The sequence below is a fragment of the Homo sapiens genome, chromosome 17 (genome assembly GCF_000001405.40).
Source record: "Homo sapiens chromosome 17, GRCh38.p14 Primary Assembly".
Classification (NCBI taxonomy): domain Eukaryota; kingdom Metazoa; phylum Chordata; class Mammalia; order Primates; family Hominidae; genus Homo; species Homo sapiens.
Genome location: NC_000017.11, coordinates 1760385 through 1788032, shown reverse-complemented (window position 1 = coordinate 1788032; position 27648 = coordinate 1760385). Strand labels below are relative to the sequence as shown.

General features: G+C 51.6%; 2 protein-coding genes across 10 annotated transcripts in view, besides 5 other annotated features; one reads left to right on the top strand and one right to left on the bottom strand.

Annotated features, from left to right (window-relative positions):
- SMYD4 (SET and MYND domain containing 4) overlaps nt 1-8548 on the top strand; it is a 50418-nt gene extending 41870 nt beyond the window's left edge. For 3 of the 6 annotated variants that reach the window (NM_052928.3, XM_024450560.2, XM_047435291.1), the window contains 6 exons: nt 429-611; nt 1060-1223; nt 3572-3707; nt 4557-4673; nt 4875-4998; nt 6594-8548. In NM_052928.3, coding sequence (NP_443160.2) covers nt 429-611; nt 1060-1223; nt 3572-3707; nt 4557-4673; nt 4875-4998; nt 6594-6747 — 878 coding nt within the window. In that variant the 3' untranslated portion in view covers nt 6748-8548. Of the gene's footprint in view, nt 1-428; nt 612-1059; nt 1224-3458; nt 3479-3571; nt 3708-4509; nt 4674-4874; nt 5003-6593 lie in introns of those variants that run through there. The other 3 variants (XM_047435290.1, XM_011523633.3, XM_011523632.3) reach the window with 3 other exon arrangements.
- Nucleotides 3884-4178: an enhancer, noted in NCBI's record as "tiled region #4981; K562 Activating DNase matched - State 8:EnhW, and HepG2 Activating non-DNase unmatched - State 14:Gen5'". NCBI's record gives its function as "activates a minimal TATA promoter and a strong SV40 promoter by Sharpr-MPRA in K562 cells, with weaker activation in HepG2 cells {active_cell/tissue: HepG2 | K562}" and the evidence as "EXISTENCE:reporter gene assay evidence [ECO:0000049][PMID:27701403]".
- On the bottom strand, nt 10468-25973 carry SERPINF1 (serpin family F member 1). 4 transcript variants are annotated; one of them, NM_002615.7, is made up of 8 exons: nt 25920-25973; nt 21039-21130; nt 17983-18181; nt 16849-17004; nt 15958-16161; nt 12833-12975; nt 11291-11501; nt 10468-10846 (listed from the first exon to the last, which is right to left on the bottom strand). In NM_002615.7, the coding sequence occupies exons 2-8, from the start codon at nt 21120-21122 to the stop codon at nt 10587-10589; spliced, it is 1257 nt and encodes a 418-aa protein (NP_002606.3). In that variant the 5' UTR covers nt 21123-21130; nt 25920-25973; the 3' UTR covers nt 10468-10586. The 4 variants fall into 4 exon arrangements, with proteins under 4 accessions (NP_002606.3, NP_001316832.1, NP_001316833.1 ...); NM_001329903.2 differs by lacking the exon at nt 25920-25973 and adding an exon at nt 25150-25228; NM_001329904.2 differs by lacking the exon at nt 21039-21130.
- Nucleotides 17958-18037: an enhancer, noted in NCBI's record as "active region_11457". NCBI's record gives its function as "activates an Ori minimal core promoter by ATAC-STARR-seq in GM12878 lymphoblastoid cells {active_cell/tissue: GM12878}" and the evidence as "EXISTENCE:reporter gene assay evidence [ECO:0000049][PMID:35858748]".
- Nucleotides 18058-18167: an enhancer, noted in NCBI's record as "active region_11456". NCBI's record gives its function as "activates an Ori minimal core promoter by ATAC-STARR-seq in GM12878 lymphoblastoid cells {active_cell/tissue: GM12878}" and the evidence as "EXISTENCE:reporter gene assay evidence [ECO:0000049][PMID:35858748]".
- Nucleotides 23929-24781: an enhancer, noted in NCBI's record as "NANOG-H3K27ac-H3K4me1 hESC enhancer chr17:1666546-1667398 (GRCh37/hg19 assembly coordinates)". NCBI's record gives its function as "activates a minimal SCP1, AML or CMV promoter by ChIP-STARR-seq in primed H9 embryonic stem cells {active_cell/tissue: H9 hESC(primed)}" and the evidence as "EXISTENCE:reporter gene assay evidence [ECO:0000049][PMID:30033119]".
- Nucleotides 24782-25634: an enhancer, noted in NCBI's record as "NANOG-H3K27ac-H3K4me1 hESC enhancer chr17:1665693-1666545 (GRCh37/hg19 assembly coordinates)". NCBI's record gives its function as "activates a minimal SCP1, AML or CMV promoter by ChIP-STARR-seq in primed H9 embryonic stem cells {active_cell/tissue: H9 hESC(primed)}" and the evidence as "EXISTENCE:reporter gene assay evidence [ECO:0000049][PMID:30033119]".

The following is a 27648-nucleotide window of genomic DNA, read 5'->3' as shown; positions in this document are numbered from 1 at the left end:
TCTGTTAACCAACCAAAGACCAGATAAACAAAAGCCCTTGGGCTCTAAAAGTCTTTGGGAAGTCACCTCAACAGGGGCTCTGGTTTCTATGTGAGAACATTATGAAACTATCTAGAACGCTCCCTACTTATCATCCCTTTTTTATTACTTCTTTATAAGTTCTTATCTTTGGCTATTTCGTGGTGTAGAGACACAGTCGTTAGGTTCCAGGACTCCAGTGGACTTTGTGTGCGTTCATCCACTTTGCTTCCTGGGGACTGGAGCTTGCCGTGAGTCATGTCCCATCTGATTTATATTGGATCTGGCTGTGGAGCCATGACTCACACGGGCTGCAGGCCTAGCTGCCCAGCTCATCTTCTGAGGAACAGAGGGCAAGGCCAGGGCTCATGTGCTGACACCTTTTTCCTTCTTTCCTCTTGCCCTTTCAGGACCTAAAGGGAGCATCGTTACCGACAGCAGGCAGGTGCGCCTTGCCACAGGCATCTTCCCTGTTATCAGCCTCCTGAACCACTCCTGTAGCCCCAACACCAGCGTGTCCTTCATTAGCACTGTCGCCACCATCCGGGCGTCACAGCGGATTAGAAAGGGGCAAGAGATTCTCCACTGCTATGGTGAGCCATCCCTCCGCACTGCCATCCTGCCCTTCTCCAACAGAAAAGGACGGGGACGCAAGTCAGCAAGCCACCAGGCATGTGACTTCACCTGTCTACTGTCTGCTTCCTGGAAGAGGCAGTGAACACTTAGGCCAAAAACAAGGAAGGGAGGATGGAAGGAATGGCCTTCGTGCTAGGGCCCTATTGCGGCTAAACTATGTCTCGCTGTTTAATCACTATAAACTTCCTATTCTGAAAATGGGCTAGGAACAACTTCTTGGCTTCTCTTTCTTCCTGTCTCAGCAACTTGGAAGCTTATTTTAGTATCCAGTTCCACAAATATTTGGGTAAAGGTTAGCTGTCACATGATAGGTAATTGTCCAGACCCTCTGCTAAGCTGAAGGTTTTTACGTAGTGTTTGACTCTCTCTTGCTTTCAATATTGGCTGACGGTGATCTCCCTCCAGGGCCTCACAAGAGCCGGATGGGGGTTGCCGAAAGGCAGCAGAAGCTGAGGTCTCAGTATTTCTTTGACTGCGCCTGTCCAGCTTGTCAAACTGAGGCACACAGGATGGCTGCAGGGCCCAGGTGGGAAGCATTCTGTTGCAACAGTTGCGGAGCGCCCATGCAGGTAATTCTCTCTTCTGTCTCCTCCACTTTTCCTGGAGGTCAGTTTTCCACCCCAAGGGTGATCAGTGTTTAGGAGGAAGCCATCAGGGACTTGTAAGTGCTGAGACCAGTAATATCACCTCCATTTTAGCCAGTCATCCCCATACACTAGTTCCCCTCCAGAGAAACCACAGGGAAAGGTTCAATTTAGTAATGTTTCCTTTATAAAGGACAGAAGATCCCATCTGAACTGGTTTGGGATCTGGGGGAGACTGGGAATTTATTTGCTGAAGTCAGTCATTGAAAAGTCCCAGGATAGGCTGGGCACAGTGACACATGCCTATTATCCCAGCACTTTGGGAGGCTGAGGTGGACAGATCACTTGGAGGCCAGGGGTTCAAGACCAGCCTGGGCAACATAGCAAGACCCTGTCTCTACCAAAAAAAATGTTATGAGAAAAATTCCAGGATAAGGCTGCTTAAGATACAGCTTGATCCAGGGGCTTTCTGTCCACCCCTCTCAGCTTCATTTTCTCTGTGTTAGCCCATCCTCAGATAGACTTCCCTCTTACGATGCAGGATGGCTGCCAGCAGCCCAGCCTGCGGATTTCCTGCCAAGGAGGATAAGAGCACATGCCACTCAAACAGCAGCCTGGGCAGAGATGTTACTGTGTTTCATTGACCTGAGAACTGTGGCTGGAGGAAAATTAGACATAGTTTTCCTCCAGCCATTTGGGCCAGAGGAAGGAGCCATATGTGAGCCACATGCCACACCCTCAGCTGTAGGGCAAGGGCCATGGGACTGAGGGTGAGAGGGATCCTTATGAGAAACTGGGTTGGGTTGCTGTTGCCAAATGAGAAAATAGATATCGGCCTTTGAAACACAGCAGATGTCCACCTCGGAGGTTTCCCCTCTGCCACAAGTGCCGTATTCTTCTTAGGGGAGTCATGAGTGAAAGGCAGAGCCGGTTGTGTTAGAAAGCTAAACTTGGAGACCCAAGGTCAAATGTAGGACGATCGCACCTAGCACCTTTTTCTATTAGTTTTTTTTTTTTTCTTTTTTTTTTTTGAGATGGGGTCTTGCCCTGTCATCCAGGCTGAAGTGAGTGCAGTGGCACGATCTCTGCTTACCACAGCCTCAACCTCCCAGACTCAAGCAATTCTCCTGCCTCAGCCTCCCCAGTAGCTGGGATTACAGGCATGCACCACCATGCCCAGCTAATCTTTGTATTTTTAGTAGAGACGAGTTGGCCATGTTCTCCATGTTGGCCAGGCTGGTCTCGATCTCCTGGCCTCAAGCGACCTACCTGCCTCGACCACCCAAAGCGCTGGGATTACAGGCGTGAGCCACCACGCCCAGCCTTTCTATTGGTTTTCTTTTTTTTTTTTTTTTCTTTTTCTTTTGTGAGACAGAGTCTCTCTCATGTCACCCAGGCTGGAGTGCAGTGGTGCAATCTCGGCTCACTGCAAGCTCCACCTCCCGGGTTCACGCCATTCTCCTGCCTCAGCCTCCCGAGTAGGTGAGACTACAGGCGCCCGCCACCACCATGCCCGGCTAATTTTTTGTATTTTTAGTAGAGACGGGGTTTCACCGTGTTAGCCAGGATGGTCTCGATCTCCTGACCTCATGGATCCACCCGCCTCGCCCTCCCAAAGTGCTGGGATTACAGGCGTGAGCCACCGCACCTGGCCTTCTATTGGTTTTCTGAGGACTTTTTCATAACTACTAGAAATGTTTGTCATCAAGGCCGGGCACGGTGGCTCACGCCTGTAATCCCAGCACTTTGGGAGGCTGAGGCGAGCGGATCATGAGGTCAGAAAATCGAGACCATCCTGGCTTACACGGTGAAACCCCGTCTCTACTAAAAAAAAAAAATAAATAACACACACAAAAATTTAGCCGGGCTTGGTGGTGGGCACCTGTAGTCCCAGCTACTCGGGAGACTGAGGCAGGAGAATGGCGTGAACCCGGGAGGCGGAGCTTGGAGTGAGCCGAGATCGCACCACTGCACTCCAGCCTGGAGACCGAGCGAGACTCCATCTCAAAAAAAAGAAATGTTTGTCATCTAAAGTCCTGGCCCCAAAAAGCGACAAGAGGGGCTATAGAAGTGGAAAGAAATTGTGCACTGTACCAGTTCTGTTCCAAAAATGAAATCTCAGGTGGGATCAGCTACTGCTGATACACTTCATTAGAATTGCCGCCATTGCCGCCATCAAACAAAATTCGCTCAGACTTTCGTCACGATGTATTGTTACAGGAGTCTCTTTCCCCCATGAGGTAAGAAACTATGGAGCAGTCCTGTAATGTAAGCACAGGCGGTGTTGATAACTGACCCTGGCATTGGAATAAAGAGAAAACTGACTTCCACAGGGAGATGACGTGCTGCGCTGTGGCAGCAGATCTTGTGCAGAATCCGCCGTCAGCAGGGACCACCTGGTCTCTCGGTTACAGGACCTACAGCAGCAGGTCAGAGTGGCCCAGAAGCTTCTCAGAGATGGTGAACTAGGTGAGACTGGCTCCCTGCTTTGGTCCTCCAGCCCCTTCCCTTTTATTTGTTCTGATACCGTTTTGGACTCAGGGATACTCAGTACTGATGGGAGAATTGGATGTAATTATCCCCATGCCAGCCACAAGATGGCTATATAGGCCAGTGAGTCCAAACCCTGACCAGCTTTGTTACTGTGGGGCCCTTGAAAAGGGGCCAGGTGATTTCAGCTGTTGTTTTCTTCTGCATCTGATTGCTAAGTTGAAGTACCCCTGCCAACTAACGGGTCATCGCTGACATCCGTGAGCTGTGTGCAGTTCCAGAAGTTGAGTGTCATTTATTTTAATTCCAGGGCCTAGTGATGTAACTTCCTAGAAGGGCGGTTCTTCCCTCCTCAGAGCTAGTCTCTGCTAGAGAGCAGTGGGGCGTGAGCCCAGCTGATAGGAGTGTCTTGCTTTTGTCTGAGACTTGCGGAGCTCCCCATTGCCCTTGAAAACCCTGCCTTAGAGCTTGACATCATGGGATTTTTATTTACCCTGCTTTATGAAAGTTGACCTTTAGCTTAGATTTCAGGGTCAAGAGAAATCATGGCCGTACGTGAAAGGTAGAGTTGGTCGAGTTGGGAAGTTAATGTTGAAAATACAGTGTAAATGTGGGGAGGCCTCCCCTAGCGCCTTTCTCCACTGACAGAGAAAACAGAAGAAAACAGCAGCTTTATTGGAACAGACATTGTGCGTTGGTGACAACCCAGGGAGGCCAGGGGGAATTTCCACATTCAGCCCAGCTGATTCAGAGGATTTGAGACCTGGATTCTCATTCCTAGGACTGGGCTTCTGTCTATAGTGAGACGTCTTTCCTCTGCATTGACAGAGCGAGCTGTTCAGCGGCTGTCGGGGTGCCAGCGTGACGCCGAGAGCTTCCTGTGGGCAGAGCACGCCGTGGTGGGAGAGATCGCGGATGGCCTGGCCCGGGCCTGTGCTGCCTTAGGTACAGCATGAGCCTTCACGTTCTGCGTCGGGAACAGTCTGCTGTGGGCACTTCGCCGTGGCCCCGGCCTTGTCTGCCTGGTTACCCCCCGCTCTGTAAACTGAGGGTGCTCCCCCTCTCGTTCCATTTCCTCCCCCTGAAAATATGCATCCACAGTTGACAGTGGTTCTTTTCTGGAACAAGATTTTTCTCTTCTCACAGGAGACTGGCAAAAGTCAGCCACCCATCTACAGAGGAGTCTCTACGTGGTGGAGGTTCGCCACGGGCCGTCCAGTGTTGAAATGGGCCATGAGCTCTTCAAATTGGCCCAGATCTTTTTCAACGGGTGAGTCCCTTTCCCACTTCACAGGGCACACACTGTTCCTTTCCTAGGCTCTTCTGGGTATTACTTTTTTTCTATGGTGTTTTTAAAAGCATGTTGAAACTTCTTTATTTCCTCTTTAGGAGAGATCTTTGCCTTCTGTTTTGCTAACAAACATAACGCTTTAGAATTTCCTCCTGGGAGGCGGAGCTTGCAGTGAGCCAAGATCGCGCCACTGCACTGTAGCCTGGGCGACAGAGCGAGACTCCATCTCAAAAAAAAAAAAAAAAAGAATTTCCTCCTGGGAGATATGGGGAAAGCTTTTAGATCTCAAGTGAGTTTCCCAGAGAGAACTTGGCCAGGCAGCCCCACCCACCCTCCAGTATAGCTCTCCTTCTGGTTGTTCTCTGGTTCGTCACAGCCCCTTTGGCTGTCTCATTCCCAGCACTCTCAGCTCCAGGCTCTCTGCCTTCTCCCTACTCTGCATCCTCTTCCTTTTAAAGCGTTTGCTTGAACCAGGGCTGATTTTACCCCCAGACAACATGTGGCATTGCCTGGAGACTTTTTTTTTTTTTTTTTTGAGAAGGGGTCTTGCTGTCTTGCCCAGGCTGGAGTACAGTGGCTCGGTCACAGCTCACTGCTTCCTGCAACTCCTGGGCTCAAGCGATCTCTGGAGACATTTTGGATTGTCATGACTTGGAAGGGGGGTGCTGCTGGCATCTATTCGAAAGAGGCCAGAGGTGCTGCTAAGCATCCTCCCGGGTACAAGACAGTGCCCCCCCCACCAACCCCAGCAAAGAAGGAGCCAGCAACAGTGTCAATAGTGTCAGGGTCGAGAAACCCTGCTTTTTTGCTGCTGTTGTTTGTTTTTTGTTTTAAATCCCCTGTTCTACTTTGAAGGTTAAAAGGAAAGAACAGCACGCTGATGAGCTGATGCCAAATCCACTTTTGCTACTGAGACCATTTAGGGCCCAATTTCAGGATTTCCGGGTGGAACCTCCAACCCTGGTAAAGCTGCCCTTGGTGTATGTGGCTATGAGAAAGTGCTTAAAGCTTCAACCTAAGGCTGTGCTGAGTGGGCCTGGTACCCAAGACACAGAGACATTCTGTTTGGTCAGAGAGAGAGAAAAGGGCTGCAGAGTTAGGTCAGAGGTCAGCCCTAAGATGGTCACCCTAAAATGAAAACTGCTATGTAAACCTGTGGTAAATACCAGATGAAAACTTTGAGGCCGGGTGTGGTAGCTCACGCCTGTAATCCAGCTGCCCAGGAGGTTGAGGCAGGAGAATCACTTGAACCCGGGAGGCGGAGGTTGCAGTGAGCCGAGGTCGCACAAATACCTGGGCGACAAGAGTGAAACTCTTGTCTCAAAAAAAAAAAAAAAAGCTTTGAGATTTGCCTCGTGTTCTCAGGATCCTGGCGTCTATACTATCTTTTATAACTGTTTTCTCACACTTTTGTTTTGCAGCGTGTTTGTGACAGTGTCTTACTTACTGTTCTAGATTGTAGGATCCTTGATGACAGAAATGATCTTACATTCTTCACGGTGTGTGAGTAGGCCCTCAATTAACATTTGCCTCACAAATCAGTGAACTAACTCCTCTTACCTCCCTTGGCTCAGGTTTGCAGTACCCGAAGCCCTGAGCACAATACAGAAAGCTGAGGAGGTTCTGTCGCTGCACTGTGGCCCATGGGACGATGAAATCCAGGAGCTCCAGAAGATGAAATCCTGTTTGTTGGACTTACCACCCACCCCTGTAGGGCCTGCATTGTAGGGTTCCAGGAGGATTTTGACCCACAGAAAAGGAGCCCATGGAACACAAGTTAAAGAGGTTTTGCTGGCCAGGTATGGTGGCTCACGCCTGTAATCCCAGCACTTTGGGAGGCTAAGGTGGGCGGATCACCTGATGTCAGGAGTTCAAGACCAGCCTGGCCAACATGGTGAAACCCCATCTTTACTAAAAATACAAAAAACTAGCCAGGCGTGGTGGTGGGCACCTGTAATCCCAGCTACTTGGGAGGCTGAGGCAGGAGAATCTCTTGAACCCAGGAGGCGGAGGTTGCAGTGAGCCGAGATCGCTCCACTGCACTCCAGCCCAGGTGACAGTGTGAGACTCCATCTCAAAAAAAAAAATAAGAGGCCGGGTGCGGTGGCTCAAGCCTGTAATCCCAGCACTTTGGGAGGCCGAGGCAGGCAGATCACGAGGTCAGGAGATCCAGACCATCCTGGCTAACACGGTGAAACCCCGTCTCTACTAAAAATACAAAAAAATTAGTCGGGCGTGGTGGCGGACGCCTGTATTCACAGCTACTCGGGAGGTTGAGGCAGGAGAATGGGGTGAACCCGGGAGGAAGAGCTTGCAGTGAGCCGAGATCGCGCCACTGCACTCCAGCCTGGGTGACAGAGCCAGACTCCATCTCAAAGAAAAAAAAAAAATATTAAGAGGTTCTGCTGCCAGATGTGGGTTCTGTGGGTCGGGTGTGGGTTCTGTGGGTCGGGTGTGGGTTCTGCAGACCAGGTGCGGATTCTGTGTAGGTTCTGCAGGCCCAGTGTAGAGGCTCACACCTGTAATCCCAGTACTTTGAGACGCTGAGGTGGGAGGATCACTTGAGCCCAGGAGTTCAAAACCAGCCTGGGCAATATAGTGAGACCGTATCACTACAAAAAAGTTTTTTTAGTTCACCGAGCATGGTGGCACATGCCTGTAGTCCCACCTACTCGAGAAGCTGAGATAGGGTCACCTGAGCCTGGTAGGCTGAGGCTGCAGTGAGCCAAGATCGCACTACTGCACTCCAGCCTGGGTGACAGAGTAAGACCCTGTCTCAACAAAAAAATAACAGGTTCTGTTGCTGCTGAGCTTTCGTCAGGAAGATAAGACTTTCCCAACAGTCCGAAGCCTAGGATATGAGGGCTGAGGAGGACTCAAACCGTTGCAGTCAGAGAGACACCTATTTTGGTGAATATTTTTTGAAATAGTTAAGTGGCCTCCAGTACAAACTCCCAGTTCCCAGAAAAGACTTAAAACTAGTATCTGGAGATTCCAAGTCCTTTAAAAGGATTTTAGCTGATCTGCAGGCATCTGGATGTTAGCCTGGGGTTTTGGCTGGATTCCACCTCGCTCAGTGATGATAGTCTGTTTCCCTGGAACATTCCTGTGGTTTTAGTAGTAATGAGATGTGTGCACCACTCCAGTGGGAACTGAAGCTCTTAGTAGTTACATTGTAATTAAAAAAGAATTATAAAACAAGAAATCAGCAAGCCTGCTTACCTCCAGAGACACACCGTTCCACTTACAGTATCTAGCTTCCTCGACTCCTTTGTTAAAATCGTGGAGTATGAACCGTGACCAGAGAAGTAAATATGGAGCCGTTTTATTGAGCAGTTTCCTCCAGGGATGACGGCTGTCAGTGTGTTTCCTGCCAGTTTTCCAGTCCTTACTCTCTGCCCTTCATTCTGTACTCTTGGCAGAGTCAGTAACCAACCACTAATAAAATCAAAGTTGTAGTAAAGACTTTATAACACATATGCCTCCTTCTGAGTTGTTGGTTTTGTTTTGTTTTGTTTTGTTTTGTTTTGTTTTTGAGATGGAGTTTCACTCTTGTTGCCCAGGCTGGAGCGCAATGGCGCGATCTTGGCTTACGGCAACCTCCGCCTTCCGGGTTCAAGTGATTCTCCTGCTTCAGCCTCCCGAGTAGCTGGGATTACAGGCGCCCGCCACCACGCCTGGCTAATTTTGTATTTTTAGTAGAGACGGGATTTCACTATGTTGGTCAGGTTGGTATCAAACTCCCGGCCTTAGGTGATTTGGCCTCCCAAAGTGCTGGGATTACAGGCGTGAGCCCGGCCCTTTTTTTTTTTTTTTCTTTTTTTCTTAAGACAGAGTCTCCCTCTGTCACCAAGGCTGGAGTACAGTGGCACAGTCTTGGTTCACCGCAACCTCTGCCTCCCAGGTTCAAGCGATTCTCCTGCCTCAGCCTCCCGAGAAGCTGGCATTACAGGCATTCGCCAGTACGCCCGGCTAATTTTGTATTTTTAGTAAAGATGGGATTTCTCCATGTTGGCCAGGCTGGTCTTGAGCTCCCGACCTCAGGTGATCCGCCCGCTTCGGCCTCCCACAGTGCTGGGATGACAGGCGTGAGCCACCGCGCCCGGCCCTGAGTTCTATTTGTTGTCAAGCCTGAAAAGAGACTCCTTTTCTCCACCAGACCTCTCCAAACTGGCGAGTAGAATACAGACAGTATGAGAACTGGAGGCTGCAGGGGATTCTAACAATGCTGAGGGTATGGACGTTGCTGTTTGTGGTTCAGATTTAAGAGACAGAAGGCAGAAGGTAGGGATGATAGCTGCCTTCCACCAGGATGTGTAGCGACAGCCCAGACCCCGTTCCAGTCAGAAGGTTACGGGATTCTCTAGGTCGGAACCCTGGTTGCTGTGTTACCACTGGTGCCAAGTAGTTGAGGTGCATTCGTGGAAAAGAATGCCAGATCCACGCTGCTTTTGAAAGCTTGCCCACCCTCACCATGCCCAAGTGCCCGTTGGTTGCCATTGCATTATGATCAGGAAATCAGTAGCCCCAGAGATACCTGGCAATAGCTTTTTGAGAATCTGGAATACAGTTAGCACTCAAACATTTGTAGAATGAAGGGCAGTAGAATTATCATTTCTCCTCCTGTCTAATAACTGTGACAAGGGAGTGGCCGGTGACTTTTTTTGGTAGAGCTTTTTCAAGAAAAAGTTTAGTCCTACGGACAGTTCGGTAGTTATTCTACTTCAGACACTGGGCATGTTTCATGTTCTTCAAAAAGCCCAGTTATACTTTGGTTTTTTGTTGTTTGAGACGGAGTTTTGCTCTTATTGCCTAGATTGGAGTGCAATGGCGTGATCTCGGCTCACTGCAACCTCCGCCTCCCGGGTTCAAGTGATTCTCCTGCCTCAGCCTCCCCAGTAGCTGGGATTACAGGCATGTACCACCACACCCTGCTAATTTTGTATTTTTAGTACAGACGGGGTTTCTCCGTGTTGGTCAGGCTGGTCTCAAACTCCTGATCTCAGGTGATCCGCCCGCCTCGGCCTCCCAAAGTGCTGGGATTATAGCCATGAGCCACCACACCCGGCTGTACTTTATAAAATAGGCATACCTCCTTACAAAGAATATGTTCAGAATCTTTACGTATCGGGTCCATTTCCTTAAGTTACAAATGGCCTCTCCTATCTGTCCATGTGTTGTTTACGAGCAGGCTTCCCTGATTATGGGGGCAGGAAATGGCCTCCCGGGAGGATCACTGATCCTAGTACAGAAATACCCCCAGAGCAGAGAAGCTGTCCGTGCCTTATCCAACACAGGTAACTAAGAGTTCTTATGAACGGTGACTTCCTGCAGTGTTTAGATAAAACCAGGCTAGAAGTAGAGGACCACCAAATTCCTCAAGAGCTGTTTCTCTTCATATGATATTTCGCATAGCTCAAAATAGGAGGAGGAACGAAGTAACAGAAGTTAGGGATAAAGCTCTTTTATTGTATGCATTGAAACCTTACAGGGGCAGCCTTCGTGTCCTGTGGAATCTGCTGTCCCTCGGGTTTTCTTCTAGGGTATTGGAATATTAAACTGGGATATTAGGGGCCCCTGGGGTCCAGAATCTTGCCAATGAAGAGAAGGGCCCCTGTGTCTGTGTCCCTCAGTACGAAGATGAAAGGCTGGTTAAGGTGATAGTCCAGCGGGAAGGTGAGGTGGGCAGGCTGCAGCCCTGGGCTGGGGGTGGTTCCCGCCCCATCCTCGTTCCACTCAAAGCCAGCCCGGTGTTCCACCTGAGTCAGCTTGATGGGTTTGCCTGTGATCTTGCTAAAGTCTGGTGAATCAAACAAGGATTGCAGCTCTGTAGAGATGGAGAGAGATTTCCGTTAAAACCCTGCCTTCCCCAACACCCCAACCAAGGGATCCCTTTGCAAGCAAGCTGGGATGGCGCAGCACTGTTGACTTTCTCTGAGGCCTGAAGAGGTCTGAGCTGACCGAGGGTGGAGTGACTTGCCCAGGAGCATTTAGCAAGTTAGGTCAAGATGAGAAAACAGGTCAGACAGACTCGTCTTGAGAGGCAGTGTTGTGAGCGCCTGTCAGGGAGGTCTGCTCGTGAGGCTGAGGAATGAGTCTGATGAGAGAAGGCAGTTCAGCCTTCCCTTCTGGCACGATGAGGATTAAGGACTCATCCACGGCCCCCCTACAAGCCTGTGGAGCCCTTGCGTTCTGCTTAGCACAGTGGAAGGCCCAAAGACCCTGCCCCACCCCATCCACCCACCAAGAGCGAAAGGGTCTTCAGACATACTCATCTCCTGCAGGGACTTGGTGACTTCGCCTTCATAACTCAGCTTCAGCTTGGGGACAGTGAGGACCGCCTGCACGGTCTTCAGTTCTCGGTCTATGTCATGAATGAACTCGGAGGTGAGGCTCTCCTCTATCAAGGTCAAATTCTGGGTCACTTTCAGGGGCAGGAAGAAGATGATACTCATGCTTCCGGTCAAGGGCAGCTGGGCAATCTGAGACAAGTGAGAAAGCATGTGGTTAGTCCTTCAGAGCCCAAAAGCCGGGGACAGACACAGCCAGGAGCTGCCTTCCCTCTCCCGTGACGGGGCCCTGGTCTCGTCCTTCATCCAGCCCCTCATCTATTTAACAATTCCCCTTCCAGGTTATAGCTTTCTGGCAGTGAGCCATCTCCTGAGGTTTCTTCAGAAAGGATGCTGTTGGCCTTTCTTACCTTGGCCTAATACCAACTGAAGTTGTCTGCTGAAAGAATGTTCTCCTGTGGTTTAAGGAGCTAGAATTGAATTTCAGGTCTTTATTTTCTCCCAAAGTCCATCGGCCAACATTTACTGCTCATTTGTTAAATAGAGAGCACTGGACTAAGACAGGGAGAACCGGGGATAGGAATACCGAAGGGGCCGTAAGAGGGCTTGGAGACTTCACCCCATCCACCCACCAAGAGCAAAAGCCTCCTTTGAACAGAGGCTCTTAACCTAAGGTCCATGGAACAGATGGTGTCAGGGATCCCAAGAGTCTCCGAAATCGTTGACAGAAACGTGTGTGCACACCTGGCGGTGCTCCCTCGGGTTTGAGGCACTGTCGTCAGATTCCCAGAGAGATCCGTGTGATAGCCGTGGCCCAAGAAAGGTTAACAGTTACAGACTTAGAACTAAAAGAAGTCAGGTACACTGAAAGCCTTAGAATGCCAACGATTGGCCAAGCGTGGTGGCTCATGCCTGGAATCCCTGTGTTTTGGGAGACCGAGGCAGGCGGATCACCTGAGTTTGGGAGTTTGAGACCAGCCTGACCAACATGGAGAAACCCCGTCTGTATAAAATTAGCCAGGCATGGTGGCACACGCCTGTAATCCCAGCTACTCAGGAGGCTGAGGCAAGAGAATCGCTTTAACCCAGCGGGGCGGAGGTTGTGGTGAGCCGAGATCGTGCCACTGCACTCCAGCCTGGCCGACAGAGCGAGACTGTCTCAAAAAAAAAAAAAAAGATGCCAACGATTTGGAGTTTGTCATTATTTTTCAAAGTTTGGCTTTAAATTCTAGAAATAGGAGTCTCAAGAGAACAAACATGTGGGTGCCCAGTCTGAGGGCCCATTTCCTATTACCTTATTCGTCCTTACAACAAACCCTGGGAGGGTAAGTGTTGGTAACGATCCCCTGCCCCATCTTAAGAGGAGGAAAGCTCAGACATGTTATTAACCTGCTCAAAGTCACACAGCAGGCGACATGTAGACAGCTGTCGGATCTCAAAGGTCATTTTATTCCCACTACCCTGTTTTGCTTCTCTATCCTCTCCCTCCATCCACCCCCCACCCTGCCCCTATCCCTACAGACCTTGCAGCTGAGATCTGAATCCAAGCCATAGCGTAAAACAGCCTTAGGGTCCGACATCATGGGGACCCTCACGGTCCTCTCTTCATCCAAGTAGAAATCCTCGAGGGAAGTCTTTCTGGAGTCAAACTTTGTTACCCACTGCCCTGGAAAGAAGTGTATGACATAGTCTGAGCCCCAGGAGACCAGAAAGACAGTGGCGCCATGCTGTGTCCCCAGAGCACGTTGTTGAAAATTGCCCCACTCAAGGGAGCTTAGCTGTCAGGGGCTCTGAGGCCTCAGGGAATAGGCCTATCTCAGTGTGTGTGGCTTGGAGCCTACAGTTATTTCCAGGACCCCAAGTGCCCTTCACCAGCAAACTCCGATGGCAAGACGTTGATTTGGTTGATTAGAGTCTAGATTGTACACGTTCTGTGATAGCCTGCAGGAAAAGTAAAGTGGTAGCCGGGCATGGTAACTCACACCTGGAATCCCAGCATATTGGGAGGCCGGGGTGGGTGGATCACTTGAGGTCAGGAGTTTGAGACCAGCCTGGCCAACATGAAAAAACGCTGTCCTAAAAATACAAAAATGGCCGGGCACGGTGACTCACGCCTGTAGTCCCAGCCCTTCAGGAGGCCAAGGTGGGCAGATCACTTGAGGTCAGGAGTTTGAGACCAGCGTGGCCAACATGGCAAAACCCCGTCTCTACTAAAAATACAAAAATGGCCGGGTGTGGTGCCTCACATCTGTAATCTCAGCACTTTGGGAGGCCAAGGCGGATGGATCATCTGAGGTCAGGAGTTTTCGAGAACAGCCTGGCCAGCATGGCGAAACCCCATCTCTACTGAAAATACAAAAACTAGCCGGGTGCAGTGGTGGGTGTCTGTAATCCCAGCTACTCGGGAGGCAGAGACAGGAGAATCACTTGAACCTGGGAGCCAGAGGTTGCAGTGAGCTGAGATCACACCACAGCACTCCAGCCTAGGCAAAAAGAGCGAAACTCCATCTCAAAAACAAAAGAAAGAAAAGTAAACTGGTGTGCACTCCTACAGCAGTGTCTCTGGGAGACAGTCAAAGAAGGTCTGAGCTGGGAAGGACCTCTGAGGTCCTCTGGATTAAGTCCTCTTGTAGCTGAAAACAGGCCAAAGCCAAAGAGGTGAAGTAACTGGCTGACGCTCTGGAAGCCAGCTGATGGCCAAGCCCCTTTAGTTTAATGTGACCTATAATATCCTGGACCCAGAGCTGTTCCTTCACTCACTAGACATCAGTGCTTGAAGTAGGAAGCCGTTTGGATTTTGTCCAGGCTCGGGGGCCGCTCTTGCTGGTGCCTCAGATGGTTACAAAGCGTTTTAAGGGAGAGTTTGCCCAACCCCTCCCCCTACCCCAGGCCACCCCACAAGGCCTTATCTGAACAGGGCTGGCCCCACACAAGACCCGTGGAACAAGCTCCAAACACATCACCACAGCCTAGAAGGATGTCGTTGGCCACCTGCCATGTCTTGGGTACAGAACTAGAGCTGTTAGAAAACTTGGAGACAACATAAAAAGGTGTCTATGAAGTAGATATATTATCCTCACGTTAAAGGTGAGAACGTAGGCCCAGAAAGGTTATGAAATGTGTGCAGAGTTCCTCAGCTAGTACAGGCAGAGCTGGGATTTAAACCTTGTCTGATTTGGCCAGCGCAGTGGCTCACGCCTGTAATCCCAGCACTGTGGGAGGCCGAGGCGGGTGGATCATCTGAGGTCAGGAGTTTTCGAGAACAGCCTGGCCAGCATGGCGAAACCCCATCTCTACTGAAAATACAAAAATTAGCTGGGTGTGGTGGCGGGCGCCTGTAATCCCAACTACTCGGGAGGCTGAGGCAGGAGAAGCACTTGAACCTGGGAGGTGGGGAGGCTGTAGTGAGCCAAGATGGCACCACTGCACTCCAGCCTGGGCAACAGAATGAGACTCCATCTTAAATAAATAAATAAATCTTGTCTGACTCAAAAGCTGGGAAAGCCCCAAACAGACCCAGTGTTCATTCTTCCTCCCTCTCTGCTCTTCTGTCTCCACAAGTCTCTCACTCTATAGACATTCACGCCTTGCCTTGGATTTGATGACAAGCAGGTAAGCTTCAGGCAAGCACAGTTCCCAGATCCTCCCCCAGCTGTGACCCAGACTCCATGCTGGGCAAGGTCTTTGACACCTCCCTTTCCAAGCCCCTTCTGATGTCTGCCATCCATCCTTGGTCAAACAAGAAGTGGAAAGTTGGACATGGTAATCCCAGCATTTTGGGAGGCCGAGGTGGGAGGATCACTTCAGCTCAGGAGTTCGAGACCAGCCTCGGCATCATAGTGACACCCTGTCTCTTAATTTAAAAATAAATGTAAAAGGGCCGGGCGCAGTGGCTCACGCCTGTAATCCCAGCACTTTGGGAGGCTGAGGCGGGTGGATCACGAGGTCAGGAGATCGAGACCACGGTGAAACCCCGTCTCTACTAAAAATACAAAAAATTAGTAGGGCGCAGTGGCGGGCGCCTGTAGTCCCAGCTACTCGGGAGGTCGAGGCAGGAGAATGGTGTGAACCTGGAAGGCAGAGCTTGCAGTGAGCCGAGATCGCGCCACTGCACTCCAGCCTGGGTGACAGAGCAAGACTCTGTCTCAAAAAATAAATAAATAAATGTAAAAGGGCCGGGCGCGGTGGCTCATGCCTGTAATCCCAGCACTTTGGGAGGCCAAGGTGGGAGGATTACTTGAGCCCAGGAGTTCGAGACCAGCCTGGGCATCATGGCAACACCTTGTCTCTTAATTTAAAAATAAAAAGGGCTGGGCGTGGTGGCTCAAGCTTGTAATCCTAGCACTTTGGGAGGCTGAGGCGGGCAGACCACCTGAGCTCAGGAGTTCGAGACCAGCCTGGCCAACATGGTGAAACCCCATGTCTATTAAATACAAAAAATTAGCCGGGAGTGGTGGTACATCCCTGTAATCCCAGCTACTCGGGAGGCTGAGGCACAAGAATTGCTTGAACCTGGGAGGCGGAGGTTGCATTGAGCTGAGATCGCACCACTGCACTCCAGTTAGGACTACAGAGTAAGACTCCATCGAATTAATTAATTAGTTAAAATACAGTAAAATAAATGAAAAAGAATTGGAGACGCGCTCACCCTTGAAGTGCGCCACACCGAGAAGGAGAATGCTGATCTCATCGGGAATTTCCTTTGTGGACCTGGCGAGCTTCCCTTTCATCTGCGCCTGCACCCAGTTGTTGATCTCTTGCAGGTCCAAGCGAGGGTTGCCCGTCAGGACTCTGGGCCTGGTCCCATATGACTTTTCCAGAGGTGCCACAAAGCTGGATTTTATGCGCAGCTCTGAGAAGAGGCGGAGCAGAGGTTAGCGTATGAGACTCGACGACAAGCATCCCGTCTTTGAGAGCCTGCCAGGCTCGGGTTCTGGTTTAGCGCTCAGCAGGCCCTGACTTCCCAGCCAGCATCTTCCTGTGACTTGCCAGGACTTCTGCTGGCATCCCCAGGCACTGGCCAGGGGGGCAGCAGATTTCCCCACATCGCGCCACTGCCCTCCCTGCCCCTCCCACCGTCTCCTGCAGCCCACTTCCTCTTTCTGAGCCTCTTTGGGCTCACGGGCCCTTCCTCCACACCAGTGCCAGGCCAGGCCTGGGCACACATGATCTATTGTTTAGAAACGGGCCGAGCGCGGTGGCTCACACCTGTAATCCCAGCACTTTGGGAGGTCGAGGCGGGCAGAACACCAGGTCAGGAGATCGAGACTATCCTGGCAAACACGGTGAAACCCCGTCTCTGCTAAAAATACAAAAAAGATTAGCTGGGCACCTGCAGTCCCAGCTACTCGGGAGGCTGAGGCAGGAGGATGGTGTGAACCCGGGAGGTGGAGGTTGCAGTGAGCCGAGATCACGCCACTGCACTCCAGCCTGGGCAACAGAGCGAGACTCCGTCTCAAAAAAAAAAAAAAAAGACCCCCCCAGCCTGCAGCATGGAGCCCACATGCCTCAGGCAACTTGGGCTGCAAAGGCGACTCACTCTTCTCAAAGACGATCCGGGAGGCACTCTTGAGGTTCTTCTGGGGGGCAGTGACCGTGTCAAGGAGCTCCTTATAGGTACCATGGATGTCTGGGCTGCTGATCAAGTCATAGTAGAGAGCCCGGTGAATGATGGATTCTGTTCGCTGCTCCGCTCCTGCCAGAGACAAGGATGTGGACGTTGATAACTGCACACCAGGGCCCCAAATCAAGCCCCCTCCCAGAACACAGACACTATACTCATCTTTTTTGTCTGCTGAGAGCCCAAGTAGGCTGATCTTCAAGACAATCTAGGTGGCCAAGGAATTTTCATCCTTAGAGATTTTCCTGAAGTAGGTTAAAGGCATCAGGCCTGGAAGGTGGGAGTGAGGGAGTGAGAGGTACCAGTCCCTGTACTTCTCCCATCATAGCCCTTAAGATTATTCTGGCCAGGCGCGGTGGCTCACGCCTGTAATCCCAGCACTTTGGGAGGCCAAGGCGGGTGGATCGCTTGAGCCCGGGAGTTTGAGACCAGCCTAGGCAACATGGTGAAACCCCGTCTCTACTAAAAATACAAAAATTAGCTGGGCATGATGGCAGGTGCCTGTAATCCCAGCTACTCTGGAGGCTGAGGCAGGAGAATTCCTTGAACCAGGGAGGCAGAGGTTGCAGTGAGCTGAGATCACACCACTGCACTCCAGCCTTGGCGACAAAGCGAGACTCCGTCTCAGAAAGAAAAAAAAAAAAAAAAAAAGACTATTCTGTAGTGAGCTGGTATTAGTTCCCCTGTGAACCCAGCTGTGTCCTCGGTGAGGGCAAGCCCACACCTGCTTGTTTGCAGTTACATCCCAGGAACCTAGGCTAGCACCAGCTTGGTTAAGGAATGCAAGAATGTGCCTTGAAGTCACTGTGTCAATAAGCGAACCCTGAGGCCAAGCGCCATGTCAGTGGTGCCCAGCCCCTTTCGGGGAGCTGGGGAATCGTGTGTGTGCAGCCCCTGAGCTCCTGCTTACACAGCTGGGACCCCCAGGCCAGGCCCCTGGTGCTACTTCACCCCTCGCTGAACTGAAATGTCAATAAACTCAGCCACGTTTACGCAGAGGCCACAGGGGGCCTCTCCAGGTCTGCCTGGGGCTTCCTGCATCTGAGCACTCACCCAGCGAGAGGGCCGAGAGGGCCGTGGCCACACTGAGAGGAGACAGGAGCACGTTGGTCGTGGGGCTCGTGCTGGATCGCACCCGGTACAGGTCATAGCCGAAGTTGGAGACAGCCGCTGCCAGCTTGTTCACGGGGACTTTGAAGAAAGGATCCTCCTCCTCCACCAGCGCCCCTGTGCTGTCGGGGTCTGGGGAGCCCTGGCAGGAGACAGGAAGTCTTGGGTTTGAGTTCAGGGACTCGCAGAGATGCACAGGGACTGTCTCCTCACGGCTTTGTGTAGGGTGGTGGTTCTGGCCCCTTGGGGCTGTCCTTCCTAATTTTTCTGTGTTTGGCCTAAAACGGGAATGAGTTTTACTCCCTGATCACGCATGAGCTCTCTGTGGAGAGACAGCGCAGAAGAGAGATCAGCTGTTTTTTTTTTATTTGAGACAGAGTCTTACTGTGTCACCCAGGCTAGAGTTCAGTGGCGCGATCTCAGCTCACTGCAACCTCCACCTCCCCGGTTCAAGCGATTTTCCTGCCTTAGCCTCCCAAATGGCTGGGATTACAGGCATGCGCCACTGCGCCTGGCCTCATGGCCAGGTTTAAACACTTGTGACCTATAAGCCGAAACCTATGACCCACTTTTTTTTTTTTTTTTGAGACGGAGTCTCGCTCTGTCGCTCAGGCTGGAGTACGGTGGCGTGATCTCGGCTCACTGCAAGCTCCGCCTCCCGGGTTCACGCCATTCTCCTGCCTCAGCCTCCCGAGTAGCTGGGACTACAGGCGCCCACCACCATGCCTGGGTAATTTTTTGTATTTTTAGTAGAGACGGGGTTTCACCGTGTTAGGCAGGATGGTCTCGATCTCCTGACCTTGTGATCCACCCGCCTCGGTCTACCAAAGTGCTGGGATTACAGGCATGAGCCACCGCGCCCAGCCCCATGACCCACTTTTTAAAAACCATCAGCCGAGTGGCTCACACCTATAATCCCAGCACTTTGGGAGGCTGAGGTGGGTGAATCACTTGAGGTCAGGAGTTCGAGACCATCCTGGGCAACACGGTGAAACCCGTCTCTACTAAAAATACAAAAAAATTAACGGGGCATGGTGGTGCATGCCTGTAATCCCAGCTACTCAGGAGGCTGAGGCACGAGATTCGCTTGAACCCAGGAGGCAGAGGTTGCAATGAGCTGAGATAGTGCCACTGTACTCCAGCCTGGGTGACAGAGTGAGACCCTGTCTCAAAAAATAAATAAGTAAATAAAAATAAATATAAATATAAAAATTGGGAGCCAGGTGCAGTGGCTTATGCCTATAATCCCAGCACTTTGGCAGGCCGAGGAAGATGGATCACTTGAGCTCAGGAGTTTCAGACCAACCTGAGCAACATGGTGAGGCCCCATCTCTACTAAAAATACCCAAAAAATTAGCTGGGCGTGGTGGAACGTGCCTGTGGTCCCAGCTATTTGGGAGGCTGAGGCATGAGAATTGGTTGAACTCAGGAGGCCAAGATTGCAGTGAGCCAAGATCGCACCACTGTACTCCAGCATGGGTGATGGAGTGAGACTCTGTCTCTAAAAAAAGAAAGTTAAAAAAAAGAACTCAGTTTTTCTTTCTTTCTTTTTTTTTTTTTTTTGAGACGGAGTCTCACTCTGTCGCCCAGGCTGGAGTGCAGTGGTGCGAGCTCAGCTCACTGCAACCTCCACCTCCCGGGTTCACGCCATTCTCCTGCCTCAGCCTCCCGAGTAGCTGGGACTACAGGCGCCCCCCACCACACCCAGCTAATTTTTTGTATTTTTAGTAGAGACGGGGTTTCACCATGTTAGCCAGGATGGTCTCGATCTCCTGACCTCGTGATCCACCCACCTCCGCCTCCCAAAGTGCTGGGATTACAGGCGTGAGCCACCGCGCCCGGCCCCTCACTGCAGTCTTAATCTCCTGGGCTCAAGTGATCCTCCCACCTCAGCTTCCCAAGTAGGTAGTACCACAAGCACTTGCCACCACGCCTGGTAATTTTTGCTTTTTTGTAGAGACAGGGGTCTCACTATGTTGCCTATGCTGGTCTCAAACTCCTGGATTCAAGGGATCATCCTGCTCCGCCTCCCACACTGCTGGGATTACAGGTGTGAGCCACCGCACCCGGCAGAACTGAGTTTTTATTTCCGCCCATTGCCAGCCCCTGTCGAGTAGGTGTTTGGTAGATGAGAAATAAATGAGTGGCCACATGGCCCTGTAGAATGGGTGTTTTTATCCCATTTCATAGGCAAGGAAGCAAAGACTGAGGTAAGGGTTGTCTAGGGTCACAAAGCTAGGAAGAGGGAGACGCAGAATTCATACTCTGACCTCACGAAAGTCCAGGGCTCTCGCCAAGATGCCCAGCTGCTCTTGTCCCTCAAGGGTGGGCCTCCGCCAACACTCACCCCATAACACTCATATGGCCCAGGCTTCCCTCCATGTGCCTGTATCTGCCTTGGGAACCCAGCTGCGCCCTTTCTGGGCAGGAGAGAGGTCACTCCATACCCTCACTCCCTGCCACAGCCTGGTCAGTATCCGAACAAATGTCCGGGAACATGACCTGCTCAGTGGAGCCCCCACTAGGAAGACAAGGTAATGAGAAAAGATCCTGGCCAGGTGCGGTGGCTCACACCTGTCATCCCGGCACTTTGGGAGGCCGAGGCAGGAGAATCACTTGAGGTCGGGAGTTCGAGACCAGCCTGACCAACATGGAGAAACCCCGTCTCTACTAAAAATACAAAATGAGCCGGGCTTGGTGGTGCATGCCTGTAATCCCAGCTGCTTGGGAAGCTGAGGCAGGAGAATTGCCCTGGACTTGTTAAAAGTGCTTCAGATTTTTACTCTTTTGGGATCTTATTCATGTCCCTACTCCATCCCCTGAAAGGCAAGGCAAGACATTTTCTCTCTGTTTTGCTGCTGGAGAAACTCCAGCCCTAGAGAAATAAAGGCCCAAGCCTGGCCTGGAACCTGGGTCCGGGTTCCCTGTCCTGTTTCCCGTGCTGCCTGCCAAGGAGGGGCGGGGAATGCTGACCACGCCCTCCCCGCCTGCCTACTGACCTCCTCCGGGGGGCTGGCAGGGTTCTGGCAGCTGCTGTGCCCGAGGAGGGCTCCAATGCAGAGGAGTAGCACCAGGGCCTGCATCCTGGGGCCTGCAAGAAAAGAACGAGGCAGCAAGCCGCTCTCCCCCGACACTGCACTGCCCCGCTACCCCTTCCTGGCCACCCCAGCCAGGACCCAGGGGTTGGGCAGGGCTAGTCACTTTCCCCCACCCCCTGCAGCGACCACCCCTCACCCCTCCAGGCCCCCAGAAGTGGACCCTCAGCTTGATGGCCCATCCCTCCCAGCAAGGTTCTCCCGCCCCTCCCCCTGCCTCAGGGCCCACAGTCATACCATAAGCTTGTGCTTTTGTTCCACTGTCTGCGTCAGGGGACCCTCCTTTAAGCCTAAAGCTTTTATTTATTTATTTATTTATTTATTTATTTATATTTTATTTTTTGAAACAGAGTCTGGCTCTGTCGCCCAGGCTGGAGTACAGTGGAGCGATCTTGGCTCACTGCAACCTCCGCCTCCTGGGTTCAAGCGATTCTCCCGCCTCAGCCTCCCAAGTAGCTGGAATTACAGGCACCTGCCACCATGCCCGGCTAATTTTTTGTATTTTAATAGCGATGGGGTTTCACCACGTTCATCAGGCTTGTCTCAAACTCCTGACCTCAGGCTATCCACCTGCTTCAGCCTCCCAAAGTGCTAGGGTTATAGGTGTGAGCCATTACACCTGGCCCCTGAACCAATAGCTTTTAAAGATCCAGAGCAGTGGGGCCCCAGCCCCAGCAGGGCTTCTCCACGTGGAGTATGGCCCAGCACAAGTGTATGCTAAAGCTTTGTCCTGGAGGCAGCTGACCCACTCCGGTGATAAGACTTTGGGCAACCCCTCCCAGGAGAATGGGGCAGAACCCAGGTCTCCTCCATGGAATCACCGGATACCAAGCATAGAGGCACCCAGTCCGGCACGTGCTGTCCCTCCAAATTCTCAAGCTGTCTTTGGACTTCTGTGGCCTCACAAGGCAGCTCATTCCCTTCTCCCACAGTTCCCTTTCAAGAGCTCTTCCTCCCATGGTTAGGAGTGCAGGGCCTAGGGTCAGAGATCCTGGGTTCACATTTGAAATTTTTTTTTTTTTTTTTTTTTGGGAGACAAGATCTTGCTGTGCTGCCCAGGCTGGAGTGTAGTGGCTATTCACTACACAACCATAGCACTCCACAGCCTGGAACTCCTGACCTCATGTGATCCTCCTGCCTCAGCCTCGTGAGTAGCTGGGACTGCAGGCGCATGCCATCACACATGGTCTCAGTGCTGTGTCTTAGTAGCTCTTTAAATCACCATTTTTTCTCTTGTAAAATGGAAATAAAATAACCTACTATTAAAATAAAACAACTACCGAGCACAGTGGCTCATGCCTGTAATCCCAGCACTTTGGGAGGCTGAGGCAGGCGGATAGCCTGAGGTCAGGAGTTCGAGACCAGCCTGGCCAACATGGTGAAACCCCATCTATACTAAAAATACAAAAAGTAGCCAGGCGTGGTGGCAGGCCCCTGTAATCCCAGTTACTCAGGAGGCTGAGGCAGGAGAATCACTTGAACCTGGGAGGCAGAGGTTGCAGTGAGCCGATTATGCCACTGCACTCCAGCCTGGGCAACAGAGCAAGACTTAGTCTCAAAAATAAATAAATAAAATAAAATAAAATAAAATAGCCAGGCATGGTGGCACACACCTGTAGTCCCAGCTACTTGGAGGGCTAAGGCTGGAGAATCACTTGAACTTGGGAGGTGGAGGTTGCAGTGAGCCAAGATCGCACCACTGCACTCCAGCCTGGGCAACAAGAGTGAAAACTCCATCTCAAAAAAAAAAAAAAAGGCCAGGCGCAGTGGCTCAAACCTGTAATCCCAGCACTTTGAGAGGCCGAGGCGGGTAGATCACCTGAGGTCAGGAGTTTGAGACCATCCTGGCCAACATGGAGAAACCCCATCTCTACTAAAAATACAAAAATTAGCCGGGTGTGGTGGCGCATGCCTGTAATCCCAGCTACTTGGGAGGCTAAGGCAGGAGAATCACTTGAATCCAGGAAGTGGAGGTTGCAGTGAGCTGAGATCGCGCCACTGCACTCCAGGCTGGGCAACAGAGCAAGACTCCATCTCAAAAAAAAAAAAAAAAGGAAAAAAAAATGTAGAATCTGAACAGCGTTGTCTCCCCTGCCCTGGCCCCCAACACATCATCCTTCATTATCCATTTATATACACAAACATCCACCCACACAGCACACACACTTTTTGACTTCCCAGAACAAAGTGGATCAGAAAATTTGGGAGGACGTTGTGTGATTGTTGGCTCTCGTCCTTCAAATTAAATCAGATAATCCACTGGACAATATCGTGAGGCATGAAAGAAGATTGCCTTTGAGTTTACTCAGCTTAAGGCAGGACGGGCAGCAGGAAGCAGCCTGGTTTTCTTTCTAAACCCCGCCTCGAGCCGCAGACCTCTGCGTTCCCAGCCAGCTGCTCTTGCACGTGGCTGCCCTGACATGCAGGGAGAAAACTTTCGTGTAGACAACAGGAAAAGCTTTCTGCAGCGCAAGACAGAGGCCTCACCACCATCCAGGCCTACAGCTGGTCTCCACCCGGCTGGGGCCAGCCCCACCCAGCTGCCAGGAGCCTGCCTCCCCTGAGCCTCTGCAGACTGGTTTATTAGAGACCAAAAATTCAGTGAGGTACACAGGAGGCAAGGCTAGAAGAGAAGTTGTTAGTTCTAGTTCCTCTGGCCCAAGTAAGAAATTAAGGGAGGAGACAGGCTCATCCCGGCATAGTTTTTTTTGTTTTTGAGACAGAGTTTCACTCTTGTCGCCCAGGCTAAAGTGCAGTGGCGCGATCTCAGCTCAGTGCAACTTCCACCTCCCGGGTTCAAGCAATTCTCCTGCCTCAGTCTCCTGAGTAGCTGGGATTACAGGTGCCCGCCACCACACCTGGTTAATTTTTATGTTTTAGTAGAGATGGGGTTTCACCGTGTTGGCCAGGCTGGCCTGGAATCCTGATCTCAGGTGATCCACCAGCATCCCAAAGTGCCAGGAGTACAGGCGTGAGCCACCATCCCTGGCCATTATCCTGGCATAGTATTTAAGGAAACTAAAGTCACAATTCAAATGGACTTGAAGGAGCGACTTTAGTCTTGGTGCCTACAGAATCTAAGCCCAAACCCCAGATCAGGTGGTAGATGATTGTCACAATGTGGGTAGGCTGAGGTGAGGTGAGGGAGCCTGGCAGGGAAGGGACATGGGTCCAAAGGTGGCCCCGAGCTAGACACAGGGACCCAGAGTATTAACGGCAAGTCTGAATCCTCCACTTCAAGCCATCTGGATAAGGGAAGAGGAGAGATGATTGAAAACCCTACAAGGGCAGTGAGAGGGCAAGCGTGGGGGTCTGCATGGACGCCCCTCAGCACACACGCAATACCCTGTCCACAGTGGTTGCTCATGGGCTGAGCAGGCGACCGCTGGCTGGCTGCAGCCACAGACAATGATGCCATCCTGTCCAAAGGGCAGTATCCAAGCCCCGCTCTCGTCCTAGCAGGCGGGGGAGGGCTCAGGGAGAGGTAGATACCCTCCCTGCTGGGCCAAGGTCAGGCCTTATTTTCTGACAATTGCCCACATCAAGAAACACAGAAGCTTTTGTGATCTTGCCTCCACGTGAGGCGGATCAACTCAAGCCAATACATGTGTTTCAGATTAAGCCCAGTTAGGAGACAAACAGCCTCCACCGCCACCTCCCCCTCTTCCCAGAACCGCACAGCCTTCAGCCACATGGCAGTGGGCCTCGGAGATAGCATGGGGAAGGGCACCTCCCCCTCCCCTGGCTCTCCGGAGGGGATTGAGGGGTCCTCTCTGGCCCACCCATGGTGACCCAGCCCCAAACAATGTTTCCTGAAGCTTTAGAAGCTGAATGAGTCAGCCCAGGGTGCCGTGGAGTTGCACTTCCCCACACCCCAGAAGCAGCAGCCCCAAGAATAGGACTCCCTGCCCTCCAACCCCACGGAACCTGGGGGCTAACGTTGGGTTAGCTAACACCGGGTGGGGGGCCTAGGCTGGACAGGGGCGGGGTTTCTGGGAATCCTGCTGAGACCTACCCCTCCCAGTGGCTTGGCAGGCAGCAGAAAGGGTTCATCTCGGACGGCCCTTGTCTCCAGCACTGGCAGCTGGGCCCCCATGCCCTATACACCTGCCGGCCTAAATAGTGGTCATTGTTTGCCGGAGGCCACAACCTCATTGGTCGCCCAGCCTTGACTCACGTAGCCAAAGAGAGTGGGTGGGGGCTGGCTAGAAGGACCCAGCTGTCCTCCATCCCAGCCCTCAGCCAGGGCGCCGAGGCCAGCGGTTTGGTGGTGCTGGGAAATTGCCTTAACAGTCAGCACCAGCTGATTTTGAAAAAGTAGCAGGGAGCCGAGGGAGCAGGGGCCAGGGCTGGGCTGCAGGGCGGCCGCCTTCCTGACTGCCCTTGGTGGAAGCAGCTCCCGTGAGCCTCCTTGCCTCGGGCTCCAGTCTTGGGGTGCTGCTCAGACCCGACCCAGCAGCTTAGCTCCCCTTTCCTCCCCATGACCGCCCCTCCGCTGTTTCCCACTCACTTCATTCAAAAGCCTTTCCAGCCTCTTCCGTCGGTGCAGTGGGATTTGGGGATCACTGGGTCCTGGCCTTCGGCCTTGTCCCCCCAGCTCCCTCTGCCCTCTCTCATCCACTCACCCTTTTGCCCAAATTGCAGGGGCTGCTGTCTCCGCATTTCCTCTCCCTTGCACCCCTCTTTTCTGCTCCCTGGAGTGCCCCTGCCTCTCCCCTGTCCCCCCAGCCCAGGGGAGCCTCTCCCGCCGTCCCTGGCATCAGAGCAGCCAGGGAGCTGCTTTACCTGTGGATACGCTGCAGCTCCACACCCAGCCTAGTCCCTCTAAGCCTGCACACTGAGGGGGCTCCAGCCAGCACAGAGCTTTTTTTGCTGCCTTCTAATCCAGCGTCCAGCAGGCTTCAGATTACAGCTACTCCTTTCTTAAAGCGACCTGCACTCAATTTGGATTCTGTGATTGCATCACTGTCTCGTGTTAACTTTAACCCACTGCTGCACCACCATCCATTACGCCTAAGGCGCACACATTTGCACACCTTCCTCTTCCTTTAGATTTTCCTTCAGGGGCCGGGCGCAGGGGCTAACGCCTGTAATCCAGCACTTTGGGAGACTGAGGCAGGTGCATCACCTGAGGTCAGGAGTTCAAGACCAGCCTGGCCAACGTGGTGAAACCCCATCTCACCTAAAAATGCAAACAAAGCTGGGCGCAGTGGCTCACGCTTGTTATCCCAGCACTTTGGGAGACCGAGGCCGGGGGATCACCTGAGGTCAGGAGTTCGAGACCAGCCTAGCCAACACGGTGAAACCCCATCTCTACTAAAAATACAAACAAAATTACCCAGGTGTGTTGGCGCGCACCTGTAGTCCCAGCTACTTGGGAGTCTGAGGCAGGAGAATCACTTAAACCTGGGAGGCGGAGGTTGCAGTGAGCTGAGATCACACCACTGCACTCCATCCTGGGCGACAGAGCGAGACCCCGTCTCAAAAAAAGAAAAAAGAAAAAAAGATAGAAAAATTTCTCAATATAGTGACAACCTTATATTTCCGCCTCAGTTCTTTCCCGTCACCATAACCACCATCTTGAATTTGATTTTTATTATTTTCGTACATTTCTTTTTACTTTTACCATGTAAGTTTTTGTCCCTAAGTGATATATAGTATCAGTTTGCATGTTCTTAAACCTTAGGTCAATGTATCACACTGTTCTTTTTTTTTTTTTTCCAATGGAGACTCACTCTGTCACCCAGGCTGGAGTGCAGGGGTGCAATGTCGGCTCACTGCAACCTCCGCTTCCCGGGTTCAAGAGGTTCTCCTGCCTCACCCTGCTGAGTAGTTGGGACTATAGGTGTGCACGAGCATGCCCGGCTAATTTTTGTATTTTTAGTAGAGACAGGGTTTCACCACATTGGTCACGCTTGTCTCAAACTCCTGACCTCAGGTGATCCCGCCCCCCTCAGCCTCCCAAAGTGCTGGGATTACAGGCGTGAGCCACCGTGCCCGGCCATTGTCTTTTCATGTTTATGGCAGGGGTGTCCAATCTTTTGGCTCCCCTGAGACACATTGGAAGAAGAATTGTCTTGGGCCCCACGTAAAATATGCTAACATTAATGATACCGAATGAGCTAAAAAAACAAAAAACAAAACAAAACAAAATCTCAAAAAAAATCTCATAATGTTTTAGGAAAGTTTACGAATTTGTGTTGGGCTGCAGTCAAAGCTTTTCTGGGCCACATGCAGCCTGTGGGTCATGGGTTACACAAGCTTGTTTTAAAACAAGTTTTTAATTTTAACACCAACATTTTCAATCTTTTCTTTTATAATTTGTGCTTCTTTTGGTATCTTTTTTAAAAAATCTCTTCTTCCCCGAGATCACGAAGGGATTCATCTATACTTTCTTCTAAAACGTTTACAATTTTAGGCCGGGTGTGGTGGCTCATGCCTGTAATCCTAACTATCGGGAGGCTGAGGTGGGTGGATCACCTGAGGTCAGGAGTTTGAGACCATCCTGGCCAAC

Excerpts from the sequence above, each read along its gene's own strand:
- SERPINF1 (NM_002615.7), bottom strand. The coding sequence starts at position 21,122 with ATGCAGGCCCTGGTGCTACTCCTCTGCATTGGAGCCCTCCTCGGGCAC. Across the intron at positions 17,005-17,982 it reads CCTCTCGGCCCTCTCGCTGG|GAGCGGAGCAGCGAACAGAA; the intron begins GTGAGTGCTCAG and ends TGTCTCTGGCAG. Across the intron at positions 10,847-11,290 it reads CAAGTCCCTGCAGGAGATGA|AGCTGCAATCCTTGTTTGAT; the intron begins GTATGTCTGAAG and ends CCATCTCTACAG.